Raw genomic sequence first — 23,738 nt, 5'->3', positions numbered from 1 at the left:
GAGTCAGGAGAATGGCGTGAACCTGGGAGGCGGAGCTTGCAGTGAGCCGAGATCGCGCCACTGCACTCCAGCCTGGGCGACAGAGCGAGACTCCATCTCAAAAAAAGAAAAAAAAAAAAAAAAGAATGAAAAGGAATGAACTAAGCCTCCAAGAAATATGGGACTATGTGAAAGGGCCAAACCTGCATTTGATTGGTGTACCTGAAAGTGATGGACAGAATGGAACCAAATTGGAAAACACTCTTCAGGATATTATCCAGGAGAACTTCCCCAACCTAGCAAGACAGGCCAACATTCAAGTTCAGGAAATACAGAAAACACCAAAAAGATACTCCTTGAGAAGAGCAACCCCAAGACACATAATCGTCAGATTCACCAAGGTTGAAATGAAGGAAAAAATGTTAAGGGCAGCCAGAGAGAAAGGTCAAGTTACCCACAAAAGGAAGCTCATCAGACTAACAGTGGATCTCTCTGCAGACACGCTACAAGCCAGAAGAGAGTGGGCGCCAATATTCAACATTCTTAAAGAAAAGAATTTTCAACCCAGAATTTCATATCCAGTCAAACTAAGCTTCATAAGCAAAGGAGAAATAAAATCCTTTACATACAAGCAAATGCTGAGAGATTTTTGTCACCACCAGGCCTGCCTTACAAGAGCTCCTGAAGGAGGCACTAAACATGGAAAGGAAAAACTGGTACCAGCCACAGCAAAAACATACCAAATTGTAAAGACCATCAACACCATGAAGAAACTACATCAACCAACGGGCAAAATAACCAGCTAGCATCATAATGACAGGATCGAATTCATACATAACAATATTAACCCTAAATGTAAAGAGGCTAGATGCCCCAATTAAAAGACACAGACTGGCAAATTGGATAAAGAGTCAAGACCCATCAGTGTGCTGTATTCAGGAGACCTATCTCACATGCAAAGACAGATATAGGCTCAAAATAAAGGGATGGAGGAATGTCTACCAAGCAAATGGAAAGCAAAAAACAAAAAAGCAAAGGTTGCAATCCTAGTCTCTGATAACACAGACTTTAAACCAACAAAGATCAAAAAAGACAAAGAAGGCCATTACATAATGGTAAAGGGATCAAAGCAACAAGAAGAGCTAACTATCCTAAATATATATGCACCCAATACAGGAGCACCCAGATTCATAAAGCAAGTTCTTAGAGATCTACAAAGCAACTTAGACTCCCACGCAATAATAATGGGTGACTTTAACACCTCACTGTCAATATTAGACAGATCAACAATCAGAAAATTAAGAAGGATATTCAGGACTTGAACTCAGCTCTGGACCAAGTGGACCTAATAGACATCTGCAGAACTCTCCACCCCAAATCAACAGAATATACATTCTTCTCAGTACCACATCACACTTATTCTAAAATTGACCACATAATTGGAAGTAAAACACTCCCCAGCAAATGCAAAAGAATGGAAATCATAACAAACAGTCTCTCAGACCACAGTGCAATCAAATTAGAACTCAGGATTAAGAAACTCACTCAAATCTGCACAACTACATGGAAACTGAACAATCTGCTCCTGAATGACTACTGGGTAAATAACAAAATTAAGGCAGAAATAAATAAGTTCTTTGAAACCAATGAGAACAAAGACACAATGTACCAGAATCTCTGGGACACAGCTAAAGCAGTGTTTAGAGGGAAATTTATAGCACTAAATGCCCATAGGAGAAAGCAGGAACAATCTAAAATCGACACCCTAACATCACAATTCAAAGAACTAGAGAAGCAAGAGCAAACAAAATCAAAAGCTAACAGAAGACAAGAAATAACGAAGATCAGAGCAGAACTGAAGGAGATAGAGACATGAAAAACCCTTCAAAAAATTAATGAATCCAGGAGCTGTGTTTTGAGAAGATTAACAAAATAGATAGACTGCCGGCCAGACTAATAAAGAAGAAAAGAGAGAAGAATCAAATAGACACAACAAAAAATCATAAAGGGGATATCACCACTGATCCCACAGAAATACAAACTACCATCAGAGAATACTATAAACATCTCTATGCAAATAAACCAGAAAATCTAGAAGAAATGGATAAATTGCTGGACACATACACCCTCTCAAGACTAAACCAGGAAGAAGTCGAATCCCTGAATAGACCAATAATAATTTCTGAAATTGAGGCAGTAATTAATAGCCTACCAACAAAAAAAAAAGCCCAGAACCAGATGGAATCAGAGTTGAATCCTACCAGAGGTACAAAAAGGAGCTGGTACCATTCCTTCTGAAACTATTCCAAACAATTGAAAAAGAGGGACTCCTCCCTAACTCATTTTATGAGGCCAGCATCATCCTGATAGCAAAACCTGGCAAAGACACAACAAAAAAAGAAAAGTTCAGGCCAATATCCCTGCTGAACATCGATGCGAAAATCCTCAATAAAATACTGGCAAACTGAAGCCAGCAGCACATCAAAAAGCTTCTCCACCATGATCAAGTCGGTTTCATCCCTGGGATGCAAGGCTGGTTCAACATACGCAAATCAATAAATGTAATTAATCACATAAACAGAACCAATGACAAAAACCACATGATTATCTCAATAGATGCAGAAAAGGCCTTCAATAAAATTTAACACCCCTTCATGCTAAAAACTCTCAATAAACTAGGTATTGATGAAACATATCTCAAAATAATAAGAGTTATTTATGACAGACCCACAGCCAATATCACACTGAATGGCCAAAAGCTGGAAGCATTCCCTTTGAAAACCGGCACAAGACAAGGATGCCCTCTCTCACCACTCCTATTCAACATAGTACTCGAAGTTCTGGCGAGGGAAATCAGGCAAGAGAAAGAAATAAAGGGTATTCAAATAGGAAGACAGGAGGTCAAATTGTTTCTGTTTGCAGATGATATGATTGTATATTTAGAAAACTCCATCATCTCTGCCCAAAAATCTCCTTAAGGTGATAAGCAACTTCAAGCAAAGTCTCAGGATACAAAGTCAATATGCAAAAATCACAAGCATTTTTATACACCAATAACAGACAAACAGAGAGCCAAATCATGAGTGAACTCCCATTCACAATTGCTACAAAGAGAATAAAATACCTAGGAATCCAACTTACAAGGGATGTGAAGGACCTCTTCAAGGAGGACTACAAACCACTGCTCAACGAAATGAGAGGACACAAACAAATGGAAAAACATTCCATGCTCATGGATAGGAAGAATCAATATAGTGAAAATAGCCACACTGCCCAAAGTAATTCATAGATTCAATGCTATCCCCATCAAGCTACCATTGACTTTCTTCACAGAATTAGAAAAAACTACTTAAAATTTAATATGGAACCAAAAAAGAGCCCATACGGCCAAGTGATATAGCCTAAGCAAAAAGAACAAAACAGGAGTCATCACGCTACCTGACTTCAAACTATACTACAAGGTTACATTTACCAAAACAGCATGGTACTGGTACCAAAACAGATATATAGACCAATGGAACAGAACAGAGGCCCCAGAAATAACACCATACATCTACAACCATCTGATCTTTGACAAACCCGATGGAAACAAGCAATGGGGAAAGGATTCCCTATTTAATAAATGGTGTTGGAAAAACTGGCTAGCTATATTCAGAAAACTGAAACTGGAACACTTCCTTATGCCTTATACAAAAATTAACTCAAGATGGATTAAAGACTTAAACACAAAACCTAAAACCATAAAAACCCCAGAAGAAAACCTAGGCAATACCATTCAGGACATAGGCATGGGCAAAGACTTCATGACAAAAACACAAAAAGCAATGGCAAAGAAAGCCAAAATTGACAAATGGAATCTAATTAAACTAAAGAGCTTCCCCACAGCAAAATAAACTATAATCAGAGAGAACAGGCAATCTATAGAATGGGAGAAAATTTTTGCCATCTATCCATCTGACAAAGGGCTAATATCTAGAATCCACAAGGAACTTAAACAAATTTACAAGAAAAAAACAAACAACCCCATCAAAAATTGGGTGAAGGATATGAACAGACACTTCTCAAAAGAAGACATTCATGTGGGCAACAACCATATGAAAAAAAGCTCATTATCACTGATCATTAGAGAAATGCAAATCAAAACCACAATGAGATAACATCTCATGCCAGTTACAATGGCGATCATTGAAAGTCAGGAAACAACAGATGCTGGAGAGGATGTGGAGAAATAGGAATGCTTTTACACTGTTGGTGGGAGTGTAAATTGATTCAACCATTGTGAAAGACAGTGTGGTGATTCCTCAAGGATCTAGAACCAGAAATACCATTTGACCCAGCAATCCCATTACTGGGTATGAACCCAAAGGATTATAAATCATTCTACTATAAAGACACATGCACACATATGTTTATTGCAGCACTATTCACAATAGCAGAGACTTGGAACCAACCCAAATGCCCATCCATGATAGACTGGATAAAGAAAATGTGGCACATATACACCATGGAATACTATGCAGCCATAACAAAAGGATGAGTTCATGTCCTTTGCAGGGACATGAATGAAGCGGGAAACCATCATCCTCAGCAAACTAACACAGGAACAGAAAACCAAACACCACATGTTCTCACTCATAAGTGGGAGCTGAACAATAAGAACACATGGACACAGGGAGGGGAACATCACACACTGGGGCCTGTGAGGGGGCAGGGGCCTAGGGGAGGGATAGCATTAGGAGAAATACCTAATATAGATGACCAGTTGATGGGTGCAGGAAACCACCATGGCATGTTTATACCTATGTAACGAACCTGCACGTTCTGCACATGTATCCCAGAACTTAAACTATAATAAATTTTAAAAAAGCATAATACCCGATACGTAGCTTTTCATTCCTCAATTGGAATGTTTTTAATGTTTGAACCAAACATGCATGCCAAAACTGCACCTAATAAAATTATAATTATATTCTTAATATCATTAAATACCCAATCCGTGTTTAAATTACCCCAATTGTCTTGACAGATTTTTCGTGTTAGTTTGGATTAAGAGTCAAACAGATGTGGTTGTTATAACGTTTACTTTGTTATGTAACCATTCTTTGTGTGAGAGCCTGTGTGTGTGTTTGTTTGTGTGTGTGTGTGTGTGAGTGAGTGTGTGTGTGCACACACGTTAGGTATTTTTTGCAGAGGAAAATAATAATAATGCAGCACCCTTTGTATTTGGCTTAGTGCTTCATTTTGTGTCATTTTATTTATTTCTGTACCAATTCTTTTAAACTAATGTTGAGATCAAGGATATTTATTAGCTTAGGTTCATTCTTTTAGTTTCTCTTAATAAAGCAAAAATTCTTTAAAAATCCTATAATTGTCAGAAAATAAAATTAAAAGTTTGGAGTGATTATAGTGACAAAGATGTATAACATATTAATTTTCAGGATCTTATAAAAAAACAAAAAAATTATAGGTAAGAAACAACTCCAAATGCTACTTTCAAAATTGCTTCCAGCTGTGTGAAGAGAATTCACTGGCCATTATCAGAAACATTACAGATTATTTCTGTCTTTCCTCAAACCTAAGTTATTAAAGTTTAAAATCTATTTGGGAACTTTATGAAGGGTCAGTATGAATTAGCCCTCCTCTCTGTTCCGTCTCCATGGTTCTTCTAGACAAGGAAACAATAGCATTTGAAACACACAAACCAAGAATGTGCCTGGGGATAGAGCAGCAAGGCTGTTTCAGAGTCTGGCCAACCCACACAGAGCCTTCACTGTCAGTGACATTCCAGCCCCTCCATACCCTGACTGACAGGTCTTCTTTCAGATCATTAAGGTGTATATGGTTTTGGAGAACAGAATCGAAGGTGAAAAAAGGACAGAAGCAAAGGCTACACAAAACAAAGCCAGACCTGGAGATCATTTTCAAACTCTTCCCTCCTCACGTAAGTGCTGCCCCTTTTTTCTTGTTTGTTTTTATACATTACCGTTTGCCCCACAGGCATCAAGCTGTTAGTGTGTACAGGAGGGATTAAAGTGAGACTGCATGTTGGATGAAATATAAATTTAAATTATACTTCTGTCAGTTTGGAATCAGGGATTGTTTCTCAAGGTCTCCCCAAACACTTAATTTCAAATGAGTCTTCATTTATTACTTCAAGAAAGGCCAAATGCATAATTTATCAGCAGCTTTCAGTCAATATACCCTTATAAGCATGTTTCCCATGAGCCTTCGAGTAAAAATATGTTATGCTAATTCTATTAGTTGGGTACACAAGAGCTATCCGAGAAAGTAAACAAGCTTTAAAAGGAGACACATGTGAACGAAGAAATACCTGTCAACCTACTGTCCAGGGTCAAATTACCAAGGGAACAAGGAGGTGGTAAACTTGTCTCATTATTTATACCCAGAGGGTCTCTCCGACTGGAACTCTGAGACACCCAGTGGCTCTGTGTGGTGACTCAGGGGTAAGGTGACACTGAGTGTGACTGTGAGCTGGCGATGGGGACTTACCGGGTCTCCAGTGGCACGTTGCTGTTTAGCACCCAGCTGTCCTGAAGCTGAACGGACTCTGGTGTGGTGGCCAGGTCATTGGGCGCTGGGGCCGGGGCGTGGATCTGACTCCGCCGATTGGTCAGTGAGTTCCTGTTGAGGGAGTTGGCGGACGAGTGGTGATGGGACAGCGTGTGGTTGTGAGGGGGTGGGAGAGGGGGCCTCAGAGTCGACTGGCTGTGGTGGTTCGGAGGGCCTGAAAAAAAAAGGAGAAATGACTGTTAGCGTCTGCAAATTCCAGTCTCAGGCACTCTGCAAACCACTGGAGGAGAGTTTCAAACCAAAGTCTCTAAGCTGACAATTGCTGAAAGCTGCAAGCTAGAGCGACAGATAAGACTGCGGCAGGCATCCCAGAGTCAGTTACAAATAAATAATGGGCTTTGATTTGCATTTATCCACACGCATCAAATGAAGAATAATGAGAAACTAATTTAGCAAAACCAGGTGGATAAGGGCTGACCAGAGGAATTATTTGAAACATATTAATACTGCAATGAAAGTAACATGACATTCAAGGCTGATCGCTGGCGTAGCAAGTCCCTATTCCCTTTCCAGGTAAACTGGTATACTGCACACATTCTTTTCAAAAATTTCATCTTTTGAAGATATTAAGAATATGGAACACTCTAAGTCAGGGAATAGTACCTTTAAATACCTATAGGGACTAGGCAGGAAGGTGGAGTGGGCTAGCTAAGGACTGAGTTGAGGTGAAGAGACTAGGGGGCAGCCCTCACTCAGCACCAGGTCAATTTGATCACGTGGGAATGAGGGAGAGAGCTCAAGGCAGCCGTAATTTCTAATTTCTCTAGAAAAGCTGGAAATCTGGACTTGTAGATAAAATTTCCTAGTTTTTAAAAATGTTGACAATTCAAAATGAGATTTATATATATGTATGTGTGTATACACACATATTTGCGTATGTATGTGTGTATACACACATATTTGCGTATGTATGTGTGTATATATGTGTATATGTGTAATATACACATATATATCTATTTTAAAATGAGAGTGAACAAAACACACCTGTGAGCCCACTCAGCTCAGCAGGTTGCTAACTTCTTTCCTCTGAGAGATGAACCCTGAGGACTCGGTCTCTGGAGAAGGTCATGGCAGATGTTTTCAAGCCATGACCCCGACTCCAAATTGCATCCTGCGTTTTTTTAAATAACAAAATCCTCTATCCTTGCAGGAAAAACAAAGGAGAGCTCTCCCTTGGAAAATATCCCCTTGTAGATATCGCTGTCTCTGACAACTCCACACAAGGTTTTCCTAGCAACCGATTCTCAATCTACAAAATGAAATATTTTAAGCATAATGAAAATGAAAGTAGTTTGCTATGCGATGAAGCCTATAATTTCGTTTTAATGGATGCTGAAACATGACTTTTAATTTGTGTCCTTTGAGAAAGTTTTATTTTTTGAAGCTTCCAGTCAGGGCTGGCAGCTCACCAGGTGACTGCTGAGCCTTGTCATTTTTGGCCCCTGCCAACTTTAAAAATCCTCAGCCCCTGCTGTCCTGGCTTTAAGAAGTTGGCTCAAGTCATTTAAACAAGCAATTTGACACAAATTTCAACTACTTGTCTCCTTATGTGGCCGGGCTACATCTCCAAAAGGTGTAATCTACATTCTGGGGTTCCTGTGCAGGCTGCAGAAACATTCTGAAGAAAAGACAACATGTCAAGAAGATACTAGGTTTGGAGAGCATCCTGACCAACAAAAACAAGAAGGAAAAATGTGGAGGAAACAGGTTCCTTGAAGTTCGCATCTCTAGGCTGAAATTATTTGGGTGATTTTTGTTTTCTTTGTGATGTTTAGAAAAGGACAGTGACAACAAAAACCCAGTGGGAAATACCACTGTACAGTTGTATAGATTTTAAATCATGTCCTCCAAATGAACCTGTAATTCCTATTTTACATTATGCATCAGTGACATTTTAAATATATCTTTGGGAGAGTTTCATAGCTGTAGCAGGCTATTATATTTTCTGGCATTGTTGTCTGTCTAGTAATGTATTATTACATAGTTATTTAGCATTTGTCTGTCTCATATTAGTGGAAAGAGGTGGGAAAGGGGGGTGAAATGATGTAATAATGATCCTTCAGGGATGCTATCCAAGCCCCTCACACATGGTTAATGAATTCTCATGCCTTTCTTTCCCCCTCTCTCAACTCCCATCCAAGTGGTGTCATTATTCCCCATTAGTTAGGTAATTACGAGACTTGCCTCAGGAAGATGGGGCGGGTCAGTGCACAAGTGAGAACCTGCCCTCCCCAGCCCTAAGTCCTAACTTTCCATCTCCCTCTGTCCTGGCCCCCCACCCTCCCCTCTCCAGACCACACACTCTTCTAAAGTACAAAGAGGCCATATAAAGGATTTAATTCCCTAAATGAGATACCAGACCCTCCTCCTTCCTGTGTATTCACTCTGAGCTAAGTTCTCCTTATCTACTCCAGCTTGTGTGGCCCTTGTGAGGTCCATCTGTGTTATGCGTGGGCAGAATTCCTGCGGTTGCTTGTGTGCTGACAATATCCAGGGCTGGTCCCCAGGGGGAAGAGAAGCACCGACCTGGGTGCCATGTGTTATGTTCCAAATAAAATGAATTGGGAGTTTTCCAGTTAACTAGAAGAGAGGTCAAGTTCTCTTTTCATTTATCCTAATGAGAAAGCCTAGAGCTTCCTGGGGGAAATGGAGAAGGAAGAGTAAGGGAAGATGGAAGAATACTTAATTCTCCGCTCACCCAGCCCTCCTATAAAGCAAGATGATATTTCATTGCAGATAGATCAAATTATTGACAGCAACAAAAACAAAAATTATCCAGCGTTCTCGGTATTGGAAGACATTCTCCTCCTAACTGTTGCTCATTTTCACCACGGCATTGATTATATTTGCTCATTTGTCTATCTATCCTGCAGTCATATTTCCCAACGAGGTGCAGGAGACAGAAGGAAAAGACAATTACAATACAGAGTGGTAAATGTGACCCCTGGGATATATACAGAGGAATGTGGGAACATCTAGGAGGGGCATTTAGCTAGAGGTTAGGAGATAAAATCTACAGAACTGGGTTCAAGAATTGAGTCTGCCACTTTCTAGTTGTGTGAACCTGGGCGTGCTACCTCATTTCTTTCATTCTCAGCTTACTCATCTGCCAACTGGTGAAAACAGCAGTAACTACCCGCTAAGGTTGCTGTGAAAGTTAGAGAGGAAGGATGAATGTAAAGTGCTAAGCATGCTGCCTGATGGTTGGCAAGTCCCCGAAAACCAAGTGTAGAGAACAGTGATGGGTTCTTTCAGGGATGAAAGGATGGATAAGACATAACTGCAGCTCTCAGGGACCCCAGATTTGAGTAGGAAAATTAAATCCAAATTTCATCTATCTAGGGCAGATGTCACAGACTGACAGCCCTCAAGCTGAATATTATCAAAAATTCAAAGTTGAGATTTTGCATAGTGTTCCAGATTTCTGACTTCTCTTGAAAGCAAAACCAAACCCAAAATATGGAGTCTGTATCCCCTCAAAACAACTGGATAGAGCTGAATGCTGTGAGGGGTGGGGTGGCTTATCTGATTTGCCATCAACCCTAGCGATCCCTGTTCTCGTAATTTAGCTGGCTGTATGTATTTATGTTACTGACGCCTAATAGTATGTTTTTGACTCCTAGTTTCACTCGGGTGCCTTGGTATTCAGTATCAGTAACGTACCTCTAGTATGAAGCACCTCTGCTACAACAAATGATCACAAGCACCTTTTTGCATTTATCACTTTTCACTACAGTCATCCAACACACTTGCTGGGTGGGAAGGTTTTCTGTTTCAAAAATGCAAACAATGCTGACAACATGCCCTCTTGCTTTCCAAAAAGCCAAAATACATGAAAAGCCCTTCTGTAAAGCAACTGATGTCTTCAACTTACTATGAAACGGAGATGAATAACTCAGCTTGATGAAGGAACCCTCATGTCCACTGTAAGTTCCATACATTTATTGGGTTTAATTAATGTGCATATTACTAAGAGCTCTTCTATTACATAAATATGAAATTACATAATAATGCAATTTAAACATAAGAAACTATATAAGGTAAATTCTTACACAGTATCAACCTAATCAGTATGCTATTAGTAGACAAAAGGCAACTGTCATTAAAATATTGGTGCTGACCTGACACTGCACCTGATTTACCTTCAGTCCAGAACCTGGAATTTATTTTTAGGTACTGCGTGGCTTTTAGTCCTAGGAAGAAGGAACTGTCTTATTGGCTCTTTACTAAAAACCAGGGGAGGTATAAGTAAGGTGCCTGGAAATGATAAGTGAATTTATAGACAAGATGTTTCCTGTATGTTTAAAAATCAAGGGCTTGAATGAGCACTGCTGTCTGTCCTGCTAAAGAATGGTCTGTGCTTCTGCGCTTTTAGATTTTCTGTGGGACAGTTGTTGCCAGTTGATTTTGAGAGGGATGCCAGTCACATAGTCTGTCCTTCCTAAATGCCTACCGGTTGGCAGTGAAACTTGAGAAAAATGAAGCAGTGCTTCTTTGTTGAGTAACGATACCAATTCCCATAAAGTCAGATGTGGGAAGTGAAAAACCTTGGCATATCAACTTTTGTGTTGACTCCATTAGAGTTGCTCACACGGCATGGGGAAACAATCAATGCCCACGTTTTAAACAACATATAAAGGAAGACTTTCAGGGGCTCTAAGGAAGAAATTGTTAATAATCGACTATTGTTGTTGCATTCTGCCTAAATAAACAGCTGGAGGACGTGTTTAGGTTGGGTCTACTTTTGCCAAGCATCGACAAATAGATGGGGTGGGAAAGCAGAGACAAATTAAACCAGGCTTGTCTTGCGCCATAGTCTTCACCAATTTTTCCTGGTGATTAGAAATGATGATAAAATATATGAAAGAAAAAAATAAAAGTCAGGGCCTGCCTAGCTGCTAATAAATCACTCATTCCTGGGAATGGCATGCCAATGGTTGGTCTTTAAAATTTTCAACTCCCTCAGACCCTCAGATGACAAATTAACCACAAACTCTTTGCCTTCTTCTCTTGAACCACCTTTTAGGGCAAGTTACATCTCAATAGCAATTTAAAGTTTCTAAAAGAGGAGATGGTGTTGGCAGAGACTTGAGAATCTCTGGTTGATGATAACTGGCACCAGGACACCCTGTTCAAATTTGACCTTGAATTGGCCAGAGGGAATTGGGGGTGAGGATTTTCAAGAATAACAGTGTCTGGTTAGATCCAAGGAGGACAGAGTCTGTTGCAGATGTTCAGGCTAGTGGTTGGCTTGAATCCCTGCTTGGCCACTGACCAGATGTGTGGACACTGGAAAGTGACATATTTTTCTTTCTGAGTCGTTCACTTGTAAAATGGATATAGTAATCTTACTTCTCATACATGATTGTTAGGAGAGTCAAATGGAAATATATTTTTAAGGAGCCTAGCACAATTCATGGTACATAGCAAGCTATTAACACATATTATTATGATTATTACTATTTGATATAATTAATCATTCTGATAATAGCAATGGCAGCTATAGCAACTATGACTCTGAGGAAAATGATTAGTACCTCCTAGGGCACTGTGGGCCCAACTTTTCCAAGTCCTTTGAAATGGCAGTTCTTGGAGGGGGATATTCAATGAACATGCGGCTGCATTTGGCTGCAAAATCATCAATCTCTGACCCCTCCACCTTCAAATTTGGCCAGCAGGAGGGCAGAGTGACTAAGTGACGTGGCCAGGAGCTATTAACAGATAGTCTCAAGAGTGTCTCTGTAAGAGCCCACAAAAATAAAACGGGATTCAGAACTGCTCCATTTCCATAAGCAAAACAATTGATGCTGATGATAACAAAACAATAATATTGTCCATGGCTGCCATGAGTTAAGTTCTCCCTGTGTGTCGGGTACTGTGCCAAGTGTTGTACATAAATCATTTCAATATATTCCCACTTACTCCTAGGAGACAGGTCACTTATCATGCCCATTTCACAGATCCAGTAAGTGAGGTTCAGAGAGGTTAAGTAATGCACCAGATGTCATATAGCTTAGTAAGTGGTAGAGCTGGCACACGATCCCAGGTCTCTTCCCCTCCCAGCTGTATGCAAAGGAACCCAAAACCAGAACACAGGCACACAGGGAGGAAACAGGTCCCCTGCCCTGGCTGATATATGCCTAGCAAATACAGAGGAAAACAGCCTGGACTCATTTCTTTGCACATTTGCTTAAATGGCAGAATCCAATCTTGTGAGAAACTGGAGGGAATCGCCCACCTCAAAGCTCTGCACCACCTCACGGATGCTGCTTGAATCAGGAGAAATAGGCCAGAACAGCCAAACTGCAGTGCAATCTCTTTCTATGCCTTCCCAAAGGCCCTCCCCAAACTTCCTTCACTGTGCTGCATCCCTGGCTCCCTAACCAGCGGCGTGAGGGGCAGCATGAGGAATGAGCAGCAATTAGGCCTGTCAGGGGCAGAACCAAGGGCACACTCCATCCCAGCTTGTCCTGTCCTGCTCTGACCTGAGGTACTTTGCCAAGAGCCCAGGGATGGAAGGAATAGGTCCAAATCCAGCCTCCTCCCATATTTGAAGAGATTTCCTTATTTGTCTCTAAGTACTGGGCATGTGGGACAATGACCTTGCTTCCTCCTTCTGTCTTAACACCTACAGAATGACTTATCTCCTAAAGAATGGACTTGCATTTTTTGTTATTGACACACATATGGTATGGCTGGCTTCACAGGGCAGGTGGCCTGTCTGCAGTCTTTCTTGGATCTGGTCACTGCTGTCGCAAGCTGCAGCTGCAGCTTTTCCACATTTCAGAGTGGAGGAGAAACAAGAAGGGGGATGAAGGAGTGAGTCAAGTTGTAGCCTCCTCCTCATCTCCCCAGCCGCTGGCTCCAGCTCTAGCCAGTGCCTCTGGCCTGGGTTGCACAGGCCTGTATCAGGGGGCTGTCCTTGAAGGAAGCACCCCGCTCAGCCTGAACAGAGGGCAGAGAAAGAAAGGGCTGTGCTTGCCTGTAAGGAATGATTTATAGCTCTCTTTCTTACACAAAATATATGACCTCAGAGAAAAACATTCCGAATGCATTCGCAATGACGCACAGATCAACACTGCATAGCGGAACACGGGAATTACAGTCACAAGGAGCAATCATTTGCAGGCTCAGAATTCAAAGTTTTCCTCCGCTCTGCCTACGTTCGTAAAGGACTAGGGTCGGCAGGGACATCTTAGATCACCTAAGTCCAATAGCTCCCATTTAGTAAGCACCAACTGTGTGATAAGCACTCTACATATTTCATCTTATTTAAAACTTACAATAACCTTTAAAGCACTTTAAAGAAGATATTGCTCTCCCCTTTAAAGATGAGGAGACTGAGGTGTGGGGAGGTTAAGTAACATAATTCTCTCTCCTTAAATTTTGTATTTAACTGTAACGTATCTGTGCCCCCCCCGGGTGCTTGATTTGCCCACTGCTTATATTTCTTTTGTAACGCTCAGCACATGGTTTTATATTATTTTTGGACTCTCCTGTGCTCTCCACTAGATCATGAGTGCCTCCATTAAAAACAGTCTGTCTCACTTGTCTGTATATCCCAGCATAAGGCTACAGTGCCTGGTATAAAACTAGTGGTGATGAATGAATGAATGAATGAACAAATCATGTCCCTGGGAGTTATATTTAGAGTCTCAGAGGACAGGGATCAGAGTAGATTTCTGCCTCTATCCCTAGAGCATTCTAGTTGATTGCTGGAATCAATGATGCCCTCCCACTTAATTCCCTCATTTCTGTTACCTCTAGGGCTCCTTTAACAGGGAGATGGCTAGACACAGAGGGAAGGTGACTTCAAACTCCTCCGTCTTTGTTTGTTTTTTGGTTGTTTTTCCTGGCACTTGCTGCCTGATCACCTCTTCTGCTTTTTTAAAATAACAGTTTTACTGAGATATCATACAATTCAGCTTTTAAAAGTATACATTTCAGTGTTACTTTAGTATATTCACCAAGATATGCAACTATCACCACTATCTAATTTTAGAACATTTTCATCACCCTCAAAGGATACAACATACCCATCAGCAGTCACGGCCCAGTCCCTTCCTCCCTCCCATAGCCTCTGGCAAATGTTAATCTACTCTCTGTTCCTATGGATGTGCCAATCCTGGACATTTCATGGAAATGGCAATTCCCTCTGTTTATTATAACCACGACATCTGTCTGTTGCAGAGCTCCATCAGAGCCAGTCAAAGTTCAATCTCAAACGGGGCACACTGCCTAGCACTTAAAAAGATCTTCCCCTGGCAACCTGAAGCAGGTCCCCTGCAGGCCTTTTTTTTTTTTTTGGCTGAGACCCTGCAGCTGCTGATATTCTTCAGATGGAGATTGTTAGGTGATGGCATTTGAGAACGAGTTGCACATGTGAATGTCTGAGGGCGAGCTGGGAATTTGTTCTAGCGGTTCAGGCATGGCTGTAATCACCTAGCCAGGCACAGGCAGGGACATTTGTGGGAGGGGAAACAAGAAAGGATAAGGGGACTCGAACTGGGTGCCAAGTCAGTAGCTGCCCTTGGGTTAAGAGCTTAATAGCTATTGTGAATTTGGGACCATCCCGCCCCAATAGGGCACGTTCTCACACATGAAGGGTCAGAAAGGGATTTTAATCGTAGGTGCCACATCATTTGACCATTGCCCCTATACTCATTCTTTGCCTTCCTAAATCATCAGGAAAGTATTACTTGAGATCAGCGTCATCTCCATTAGCTACTTTCCAAGTGACAAAGACAAAATAAAAAAGACCACTTGAAATATCTGAGAAGGACCCTTCTAAAGAGAAGATTTTATTACACAGTTACGTCTGAGCAGTGCCTATCTGAGCATTTCAGTAAATCTACATTACCCTAGGTATTTTGGCCTCCTCTGGGAGAGGAAAGCCTATCAGTAGAAAGTAATGATTTTGGGTTTTTCAATTGCCCTAAGGATCTTGACAATACTATTAAGACCCATGCACTCCCTGTCGAGAAGTTTAGGAGTGAAATTATTAATATGCCCAGACGTTATGTTGATTGTTGTGCTGTAGCAGAAAATACTCTTTCTGTTATGTGAGCAGCATTATCACTTTCCCAGGCAGAGAATTGCATCAAAAATTTAAACTCCTCTCATTCCAGCTCATCACATAGCTTTTCAAGGTCTTATTGTAAAATAGGCTGGGCAAAATTTGGATATTTCCCTACCCATGAAAGATAATATGTTTTTCAAAGACCAGGCTATTTTTTTAAAAAAGCCAAACCTCACAGTGGAATTCTTTTCCACTGAGATGCCATTCTTTAGGTCTTTAACTAGAATTTCCTGGGGGTGTATTTCATTCTTTTTTTCTCTCTCTCTTTGAGATGTTTACAGTGCTTTCCCCCAAACATAGAAAGATCAAAACAAAGATAAAATATAATTTTGATTTGAGATTGTGCCTCTGATGAACAGAATAATGGAAACAAACTCTGATCTACACCATTCATTAATACCAAGAGTGGCCGAAGCATACCAGTTAAATGGCAAGGATGGGATAAAGGTTCCTGGAGCATTTTCACTTCAAAGCTCAGCAGAATTATTTACTATCTGGGTGAACTTTTCCCAAAATCTCTCCTGGTACATGCCTTATAGGGCAAGGGAACAAAAGTTTCTCCATACTATATAAACAGAAGCCAGCTGAATGTCAGACCTTGAACTGCATCTGGTGTCACGTCAAGTAACAGCTGATGTCATGGGATGTAAAGACATATCGCTGGAGATATTTTCAGAACCCCCTTTTTGCCTTTAGAATGCACACACATACACACACGTACGCACCCACACAAGTAATTACCCAAGATAATCAAATATCTGGAGAAACATCCACTGCCTAAGACTACATGGCTCAACTACTGTCAGAGAGAGCACTCTCTGGATTTTGCTGGTAATTGTTTACTGGTTTCTTTCAAAGTTGTCTTGGAGTTGTCTTTACCTCCCAATTAAAATAAATCAGACCTCTCACAGTGCTCAAGACCTTTCTTATGATGTTGCATGAATGATGAGTAGAAGTACCCCGCTGCTGAGCAGGCTTAGAGGAGAAACCTCTCACCCTCACCTTGAAGATCCCCAGGATGCCACTAACTTTTAGAAAAAAACTGGGACCACCAGGAGGCCAGTGTGTTATCAGCCCTCAGTTTTGCAGTGGGAGGAAGAGGCATTGCCATAAGAATCACTGGGTCCCGGTGTGCTCCACTAGAAGAAAGGTTTCTTTCTAGCAAGGGTTCAGGAGGCCATTTCTAGGGCCTTTTCAGTCTTGAAAACATTGATCTCTCCAGTTTTGCCTGGAGGACTTCTGAAGTTAGACCACCAAAGTTCTGAGGTGCTTAACCTCTGTATCCTCATCTGTAAAAGGTGGTTAATAACAATTCCTAATTGGTAAAGAGAGTTAAATGAGATACTACGTTTAAAGTGCTCAGAAAATGCATCACACATAGAAGGCCCTCAGGAAATGTCAGCATTTATTTTCACCTGAATAGGCTAATTATTATTTATTTATTTACTTTTTTTGAGATGGGAGTCTCACTCTGTCACCCAGGCTGGAGTGCAGTGGCGCCATCTTGGCTTACTGCAACCTCTGCCTCCCAGGTTCATGCGATTCTCCTGCCTCAGCCTCCCGAGTAGCTGGGATTACAGGCACGTGTCACCACATCCGGCTAATTTTTGTATTTTTAGTAGAGATGGGGTTTCCCCGTGTTGGCCAGGCTGGTCTCAAACTCCTGACCTCAGGTGATCCTTTTGCCTTGACCTCCCAAAGTGCTGGGATTACAGGTGTGAGCCACTGTGCCTGGCCTGTTTTTTGAGATGTTGGAGAGAGGGGTGACACAGACCCTGTGATTTAGATTTTTGTGTGTGTTGTTTTTAAGAGGCAGAGTCTTGCTCTGTCACTCAGGCTGGAGTGCAGTGGTACAATCATGGCTCACTGTAACCTCGAATTCCTGGGCTCAAGCAATCTTCCTGACTAAGTCTTCCAAGTAGGTGGGACTACAGGCACATACCACCATGCCTGGCTAATTTTTTTTTTTTTTTTTTTTGGTAGAGATGGGATTTTGCTATGTTGCCCGGGCTGGTCTTGAACTCCTGACCCCAAGCAATCCTCCCACCTTGGCCTCCCAGAGTGCTGGGATTACAGGTTTAGAGCCACTACACCCAGCCAGGATTATTATTTCAATGACTTGAAAAACTTTCTGTTGCCAGATACTTCTAAGGTAAATAGCACCATTAAGAATAAGGGACCATTTTCCTACTGAGTTATAGTAACTCCAGGCCTTACAGAATATCAAAATAATCAGTGCACTTATTTTTCACACTTGCAGTTTAAATACACTGAAATAAAACTGTCCAATGGTGGACAATGTGAAGTGCCTTATAGCAGCTTTTGTCCTTTGATAAATTCTCTTCTTCTTTTATTAATTAGCACAAGAAGACCTGTGTTTCCTTGAGTTCTGGTAGTCCTGGTAAACATCAGCCCCCATTTTGCATGAAAAACCTTAAAATAAAATCAAGGTTTTCAAGTTTCTTTGGCTCATTTATGAGCCATGCAAGTTGCTCTATCATTGCAATCCACTGTTGAACAATTCACTGACGTCCTGAGTTGTTCATCACATTTAGATGGTTTAAGTCATGAATTAGCAATTTGTTTCTCAGGGCTTCTTGGGTTACTGAAACATTCTAGTATTTATCATCTCAAATGGGATCATTCTTAATCCCATAATGTAGAGAGGGAGTCATCTCTCACGTGAAATAATCAGATTTGGCGGAGAAAATAATTTCCATTTCTAACACTGCCTATCTGACACTTTAATAGTGTAGTCTGGAAAGGCTTCTCGATAAGATGATATTTGATCAGAGACCTGAAGGAAATAGAGAGAGAGAGCCATTCCAGTGTCTGAGGGAACAATGTTTCAGGCAGAGGAAAAAGCAAGAACAAAGGCATTTTAAATCTGGGACTTGTGTGGTGTGTAGGAATTGCCCAGAATATCAGCCTAGGTTCGTCTCTTTCCTGCAGATTCAAGCCTAGTTCTTGAAGAAAATATTGCAAGAAATAAGAAAGGCCCTGATCTGGATCCTTACTGGCCTCTGCCTGATTTGGAACCGGCCAAGCAGGCTCCTATTTGAGACTCTTTGCATTTGCTGTACCCTTGGCCTGGAGATACAGATAATTGAGTAGTTCATTCTTTCCATGTCTGCAGGTCTCAGCTCAAATGTCATCTTTTAAGACCTGCCTTCCGAGACAGCATCAGTCATCTTATCATCCTTCCATTGCTTTCTTTTTCTCTAAAGCACATACTGGCACCCATTTTTTAAAAAACTCATTTGTCTTTCTGCACCAGGAAGTAAGTATCTTGAAGGCAAAGATGCTATTTTATTCTCTGTTGAATCCCTGGCTCTTGGAGTACTTGGTAGACACAATAGACGGTTGTTGAACAAATGACCGAATTAGTTAATTAATTACACATTGACAAATATGGCAAGAACAAAGAAATTGGAGAAATGCTCCAAATTCCATCAGAAATGAAAGTATGTTGAAGTATACTGCGGTATCATTTGAGACAAATCTCAAAAGCTTGAACTTGATCAAAGTTCAAGAAGAAAAATTATCATGGGCTTCCTTGCCAAAACACAGCTCTATCTCATGCAAACTGTAGTAATTTTTTCTCTTCCTACAGCAATCCAAACACGACAACAAATGCCTTACAAGCAGAAATCCCCATGGAACTAATGGGAGCAGAGGCCTCCCACACACCCCAAGCGGGAATAGACACATTTCACTTCCAAACTCTGACTAACAGGATCTCCTGTGGCTCTTTCTGCCACCTGAAAATGTTCACTTTTCATCACAAATCCATTGTATCAAAGAATCTTTGCTAAAGGCTTCTGACTCAACCAGGCTGGGTGAATCCTGATTCATCTGCGTAGTTGCCGATACAGAAAGGAACTCGATGTGGCACAGAAAGAGGATGATTTGCTAAGAGTTTGCAAATCAAAAGTAAGATGTATGGAATTCCGCTTCTTTCAGGAAGACTTTTTGGATTGGATCAGATGAAATCCAATGGCTTCCTCAACCCTATGCTGACAAGTATGTTGTTTTATGGTTGCTCCCTTCTAGGGCTGACATTGGAGCTAACATCAACACGTTATATATTGAAACACTTTATTTGATAATTTTTAGCCCACTAAATTGTTATAAGCTTCTCTGATTTATACATGGGGAAATAGAGCTTGGATAGAGTTTCCATTTAACAGATTTTTTTGTTGTAAAGCAGGGGTCCCCAACCCCTGGGACACAGGCCAGTACAGGAACTGGGCAGCATAGTAGGAGGTGAGCAGAGGGTGAACACGCATTACTGCCTGAGCTCCGCCTCCTGTCACATCAGTGGCAGCATTAGATTTTCAGAGGAGTGTGAACCCTATTGTGAACTGCACACGTGAACGTTCTAGGTTGCACGCTCCTTATGAGCATCTAACTCATGCCTGATGATCTGAAGTGGAACAGTTTCATCCCGAAACCATCCCCCTCTTCCGTAGAAAATTTGTCTTCCGTGAAACTGGTCCTCGGTGCCAAAAAGGTTGAGGAATGCTGTTGTATAGAGCCTAGAAAAGCCATGCGCAGGGAGTCACTTGAGAAAGTCTTTTATATTCTCTGAGAGAAATCCAAAGTGACAGTTTTCTCCACAAGATTCCTTTTGCCTTCTGTCCAATTAAATTTCTTACACAAGAACAGTGACACATTAGCTAAGCTCACTTATGACAAACAATTTTTTTTTTTTTTTTTTGAGACGGAGTCTTGCTCTGTCATCCAGGCTGGAGTGCAGTGGCACAATCTTGGCTCACTGCAACCTGTGCCTCCCAGGTTCAAGTGATTCTCCTGTCTCAGCCTCCCAAGTAGCTGGGACTGCAGGCGCATGCCACCACACCCGGCTAATTTTTGTATTTTTAGTAGAGACGGGGTTTCACCATGTTAGCCAAGATGGTCTCGATTTCCTGACCTCGTGATCTGACTGCCTTGGCCTCAATTCTTAATCATTGATTTGTTCATTTGTTCCTTTATTCACGTCTTCATTTGTTCACATGTTCCTTCATTCAGCAATTAATGATTGGGCACCTACCCTGGGTCAGAGGGCTTTTGGAGGTACAGAGTTCCTGGCCTTGACGAAGGTAAAGAAAGAGACATGTCCTATGCTGACCTTTTGGGTAAGCCACAAAGACTTCACCTTAACTCTTTTGTTCCCTTGTGGTTTTTAACCACCAAAATACTTTACTTTTCCATGTATGTTGTTTTCATGTTTCAGCTCATGTATAAAATTTTGTAGAGGCCATTATGACACACTGCTTTGAAAGTGTTTCACAGAGGCATATTGTTAAACTCTACATCAACGCCTTTCCCCTCTCCTCACCCCAGCCTTATCTCCCAAGGCTAAGTCACTATTCTGTTGGGTCTACACATATGCACATCTCAATGTGCAGGTTTTTTGCTTGCACACCATTTAAAGGATGCATCATGGCACACAGAGCAATTCACAAGAATGTTAATTATTACCTATGGAGAGAAACTGTAACATTTTGATTCATTTGTGTTTTCAACTGAATGTGGTATTTATCAACTGTCTTTTGTGTTTAATTCTAGATAATAGAGCATGGCAAATTGGAGTCTTCAATTAAGCACACGGAATACATGTGCTGAATTGCTTTCTTTGCAAGGTTCAGAGTCAGAATTCCTGCCCTGGGTTCTGAGTTGCTGAGTGGAGACGATGATGGAGAGCAGTGGAGACACGTGATTTTCAGGGTGCTCTTTGCATGCATGAAATGGAGCAAGACTTATGAAGGGAAAATGAAAGAGGAGGATAGGAAGATACGTCACCTCCTGGGTTTCCTCCAATCATCCAGTCCTCATCTCTCTATATGTCTTTGAACACTCTGAGCGCCATCATGCCAATTCCATGGATGAAACAAATACCCATGACTCAGCATTTTTCTAATGAAAACACGTGCGGTCTGACCCGAAGGAGAAACCACAAACAGAATTGAGAAAAGCAGGCAGGCAAATTTTGCTTTTCTTTTTCGTTAACCAACAGAAAATGTAAGGACTGTTTCATTAGGGAATAAAAAAAAAATGACTTACAGAATTAACCAGAAGCAGCTCATGATAAAATACAGTATCACGCTAGAAATACATGTTTTACTTTTCATGAAAGCTAACCACATTGCCATGATGGGAACTCTCACACATTGCTGGTGGGTATGCAAAATGAGACAGCCAGTCTGGAAAACAGTCTGCCAGTTTCCCGTGATGTTACACTTACCACACACCCTAATAATCCCAAGTCTAGGTATTTACCCTAGAGAAATGAGGACTTAATGTTCAACCCAAAATCTGCACGTGAAAATTTGTAGCGGCTTTATTCCTTGTCACTAAAAACTGAGAACAACCAGATGTCCTGCAAGTGACTGAATAAACAAAGTATAGTAATTCATATACTACAAAGTATAATTCATGGAGTACTATGAAGCAAAAGCAGGAATGACTAGAGTTAATAACAAAGTATTGTATTGTTGAAAATTGCTGAGCGAGTAGATTTTAAATGTTCTCACCACAAAGAACTGAAAAGTATGTGAGGTAATGAATATGTTAAGTAGCTTGATTTAGCCATTCCACAATGTACATATATCAAAACATCGTGGTGTATACCATAAATATATACAAATGTTATTTGTCTATTAAAGAAGTTAATTAAAGAAAAGGATGGACTATTGATACACACAACCACTTGGATACATTGCAAAGGTACCATGCTGAATGAAAGAAATTAGTTTCAAAAGCTATGATTTCATTTAGATGACATCCTCAAGAAGACAAAACTGTAGTGACAAGGACAGATTAGTGACTAGGAGAGACTGAGACAGGGCTGGGGTGTGTAAGTAACTACAAAAGGAGAACATGGGAAATTTTCGAGGCAAAAGGGTTGTCTTGGGTTCCTGCAGTTGTGACAGTTCCAGAAACCTGTATTTGTGTTAAAATCTACAGAACTGTACACAGTGAAGCCAATTTTACTGTATGTTAACTTTAAAAATATAATACCACAATAAAATTAAACATCACGCTGAATGCTAAGAATAGGATAGACTTGCTTCAATGGATGGGGGAAAGACTTGCTTAACGGTAGGAGCCATTTCAGGCAGAGACACTGAGGCTACTCTGTAACAAGGGAGAAAGGCAGCCTGAAAACTTGGTAAATCTGTTTCCAAAATATTTGTCATGTCCTTAAAAATAAAAGCACACTGGAAAACACAAAAACGGAATCAACCTCTCAGTAAAAGTCCTATTGGCATATCGTTAATCGTTTTTGTATTTACATTCATTTAAATATTGTTTGCTAAAGCTCATGTGATCTATTGCAAGCTGTTTAAGAAACTATACTGTGTAGAAAGGAGAATGAATGGTTTCACTGTACAAAGCTGTCGGCTTCTCTACTGACACTCAGCACAATCCATAACCTTGTTGAGACATTAACAGGACTACATTACTCATCACAATAAGATTATTAGTTGATGGGAAACAAATTACAGACCTTCCCAACCTGCTCTACTTCCTGACTGCATACAAGGCGGTTTTTCATCAATGGAAATTGCTACCCAGGAAGAGAAACTTGTTTGTCTTAGGAAATTTCCAATAGTAGAAGGGGTTCATTCTGGGAACAAAAAGTGCAAAGTGGTAAAAGAAATAAAAAGTTTAAAAATTATTTAGATGGAAGCCTAAGGGTGCTCACAGCTCGGCAACATATTGGGTAGAGATACAGAACATGAGCTGGGGAAATCGAAAAAAAAAATCATACCTGTTTTGTTTAATGCGATGGCACAGCTCTGCATGTTGCCATGGATTTATTGGAAAAACACCTTTAGGAATGGAGGGGATGCCAAATACAGTGCTGGCAACTTACGGAGACATCTAAAATGACTTGGTCTGTTCTAGTCCCTGTGTCATGAATGCCAGCAGCTAGCAGAGGCTTTCTCATCTTTTAGTTCTCAGATCATCCTGGAGTACCTTCCTGGACCACTCTCTTCCCCTGCAGGTGGAACCAACTTCTCTCCTTCACCACCTCCAGGAACCATGTACAGATGCTATTTTCCCACCCGCCACTCTCGTT

The 23,738-nt window shown here is 40.9% G+C and overlaps 1 protein-coding gene and 1 long non-coding RNA gene across 34 annotated transcripts in view, besides 2 other annotated features; one reads left to right on the top strand and one right to left on the bottom strand.

Annotated features, from left to right (window-relative positions):
- TENM2 (teneurin transmembrane protein 2) overlaps window positions 1-23,738 on the bottom strand; it is a 1,285,129-nt gene that overhangs the window by 304,846 nt on the left and 956,545 nt on the right. For all 33 annotated transcript variants that reach the window (XM_047417418.1, NM_001395460.1, XM_017009661.2 and 30 more), the window contains one exon: window positions 6,490-6,724. In XM_047417418.1, the coding sequence (XP_047273374.1) occupies window positions 6,490-6,724 (235 nt within the window). The remainder of the gene's footprint in view (window positions 1-6,489; window positions 6,725-23,738) is intronic.
- TENM2-AS3 (TENM2 antisense RNA 3) lies at window positions 5,697-22,931 on the top strand. Its single transcript, XR_941186.3, has 3 exons — window positions 5,697-5,920; window positions 10,394-10,496; window positions 21,221-22,931. It is a non-coding gene; the product is annotated as a TENM2 antisense RNA 3 (long non-coding RNA).
- Window positions 13,041-13,542: an enhancer, noted in NCBI's record as "H3K4me1 hESC enhancer chr5:167372775-167373276 (GRCh37/hg19 assembly coordinates)". NCBI's record gives its function as "activates a minimal SCP1, AML or CMV promoter by ChIP-STARR-seq in primed H9 embryonic stem cells {active_cell/tissue: H9 hESC(primed)}" and the evidence as "EXISTENCE:reporter gene assay evidence [ECO:0000049][PMID:30033119]".
- Window positions 20,536-21,735: an enhancer, noted in NCBI's record as "MED14-independent group 3 enhancer chr5:167364582-167365781 (GRCh37/hg19 assembly coordinates)". NCBI's record gives its function as "activates an origin of replication core promoter dependent on BRD2, BRD4, P300/CBP and CDK7 cofactors, and independent of MED14, by STARR-seq in HCT116 cells {active_cell/tissue: HCT116}" and the evidence as "EXISTENCE:reporter gene assay evidence [ECO:0000049][PMID:35650434]".

Source organism: Homo sapiens, chromosome 5 (genome assembly GCF_000001405.40).
Source record: "Homo sapiens chromosome 5, GRCh38.p14 Primary Assembly".
In the NCBI taxonomy this organism is placed as follows: Eukaryota; Metazoa; Chordata; class Mammalia; order Primates; family Hominidae; genus Homo; species Homo sapiens.
The sequence above is the reverse complement of the archived record's forward strand: the minus strand, read 5'-3'. Positions and strand labels throughout refer to the sequence as shown.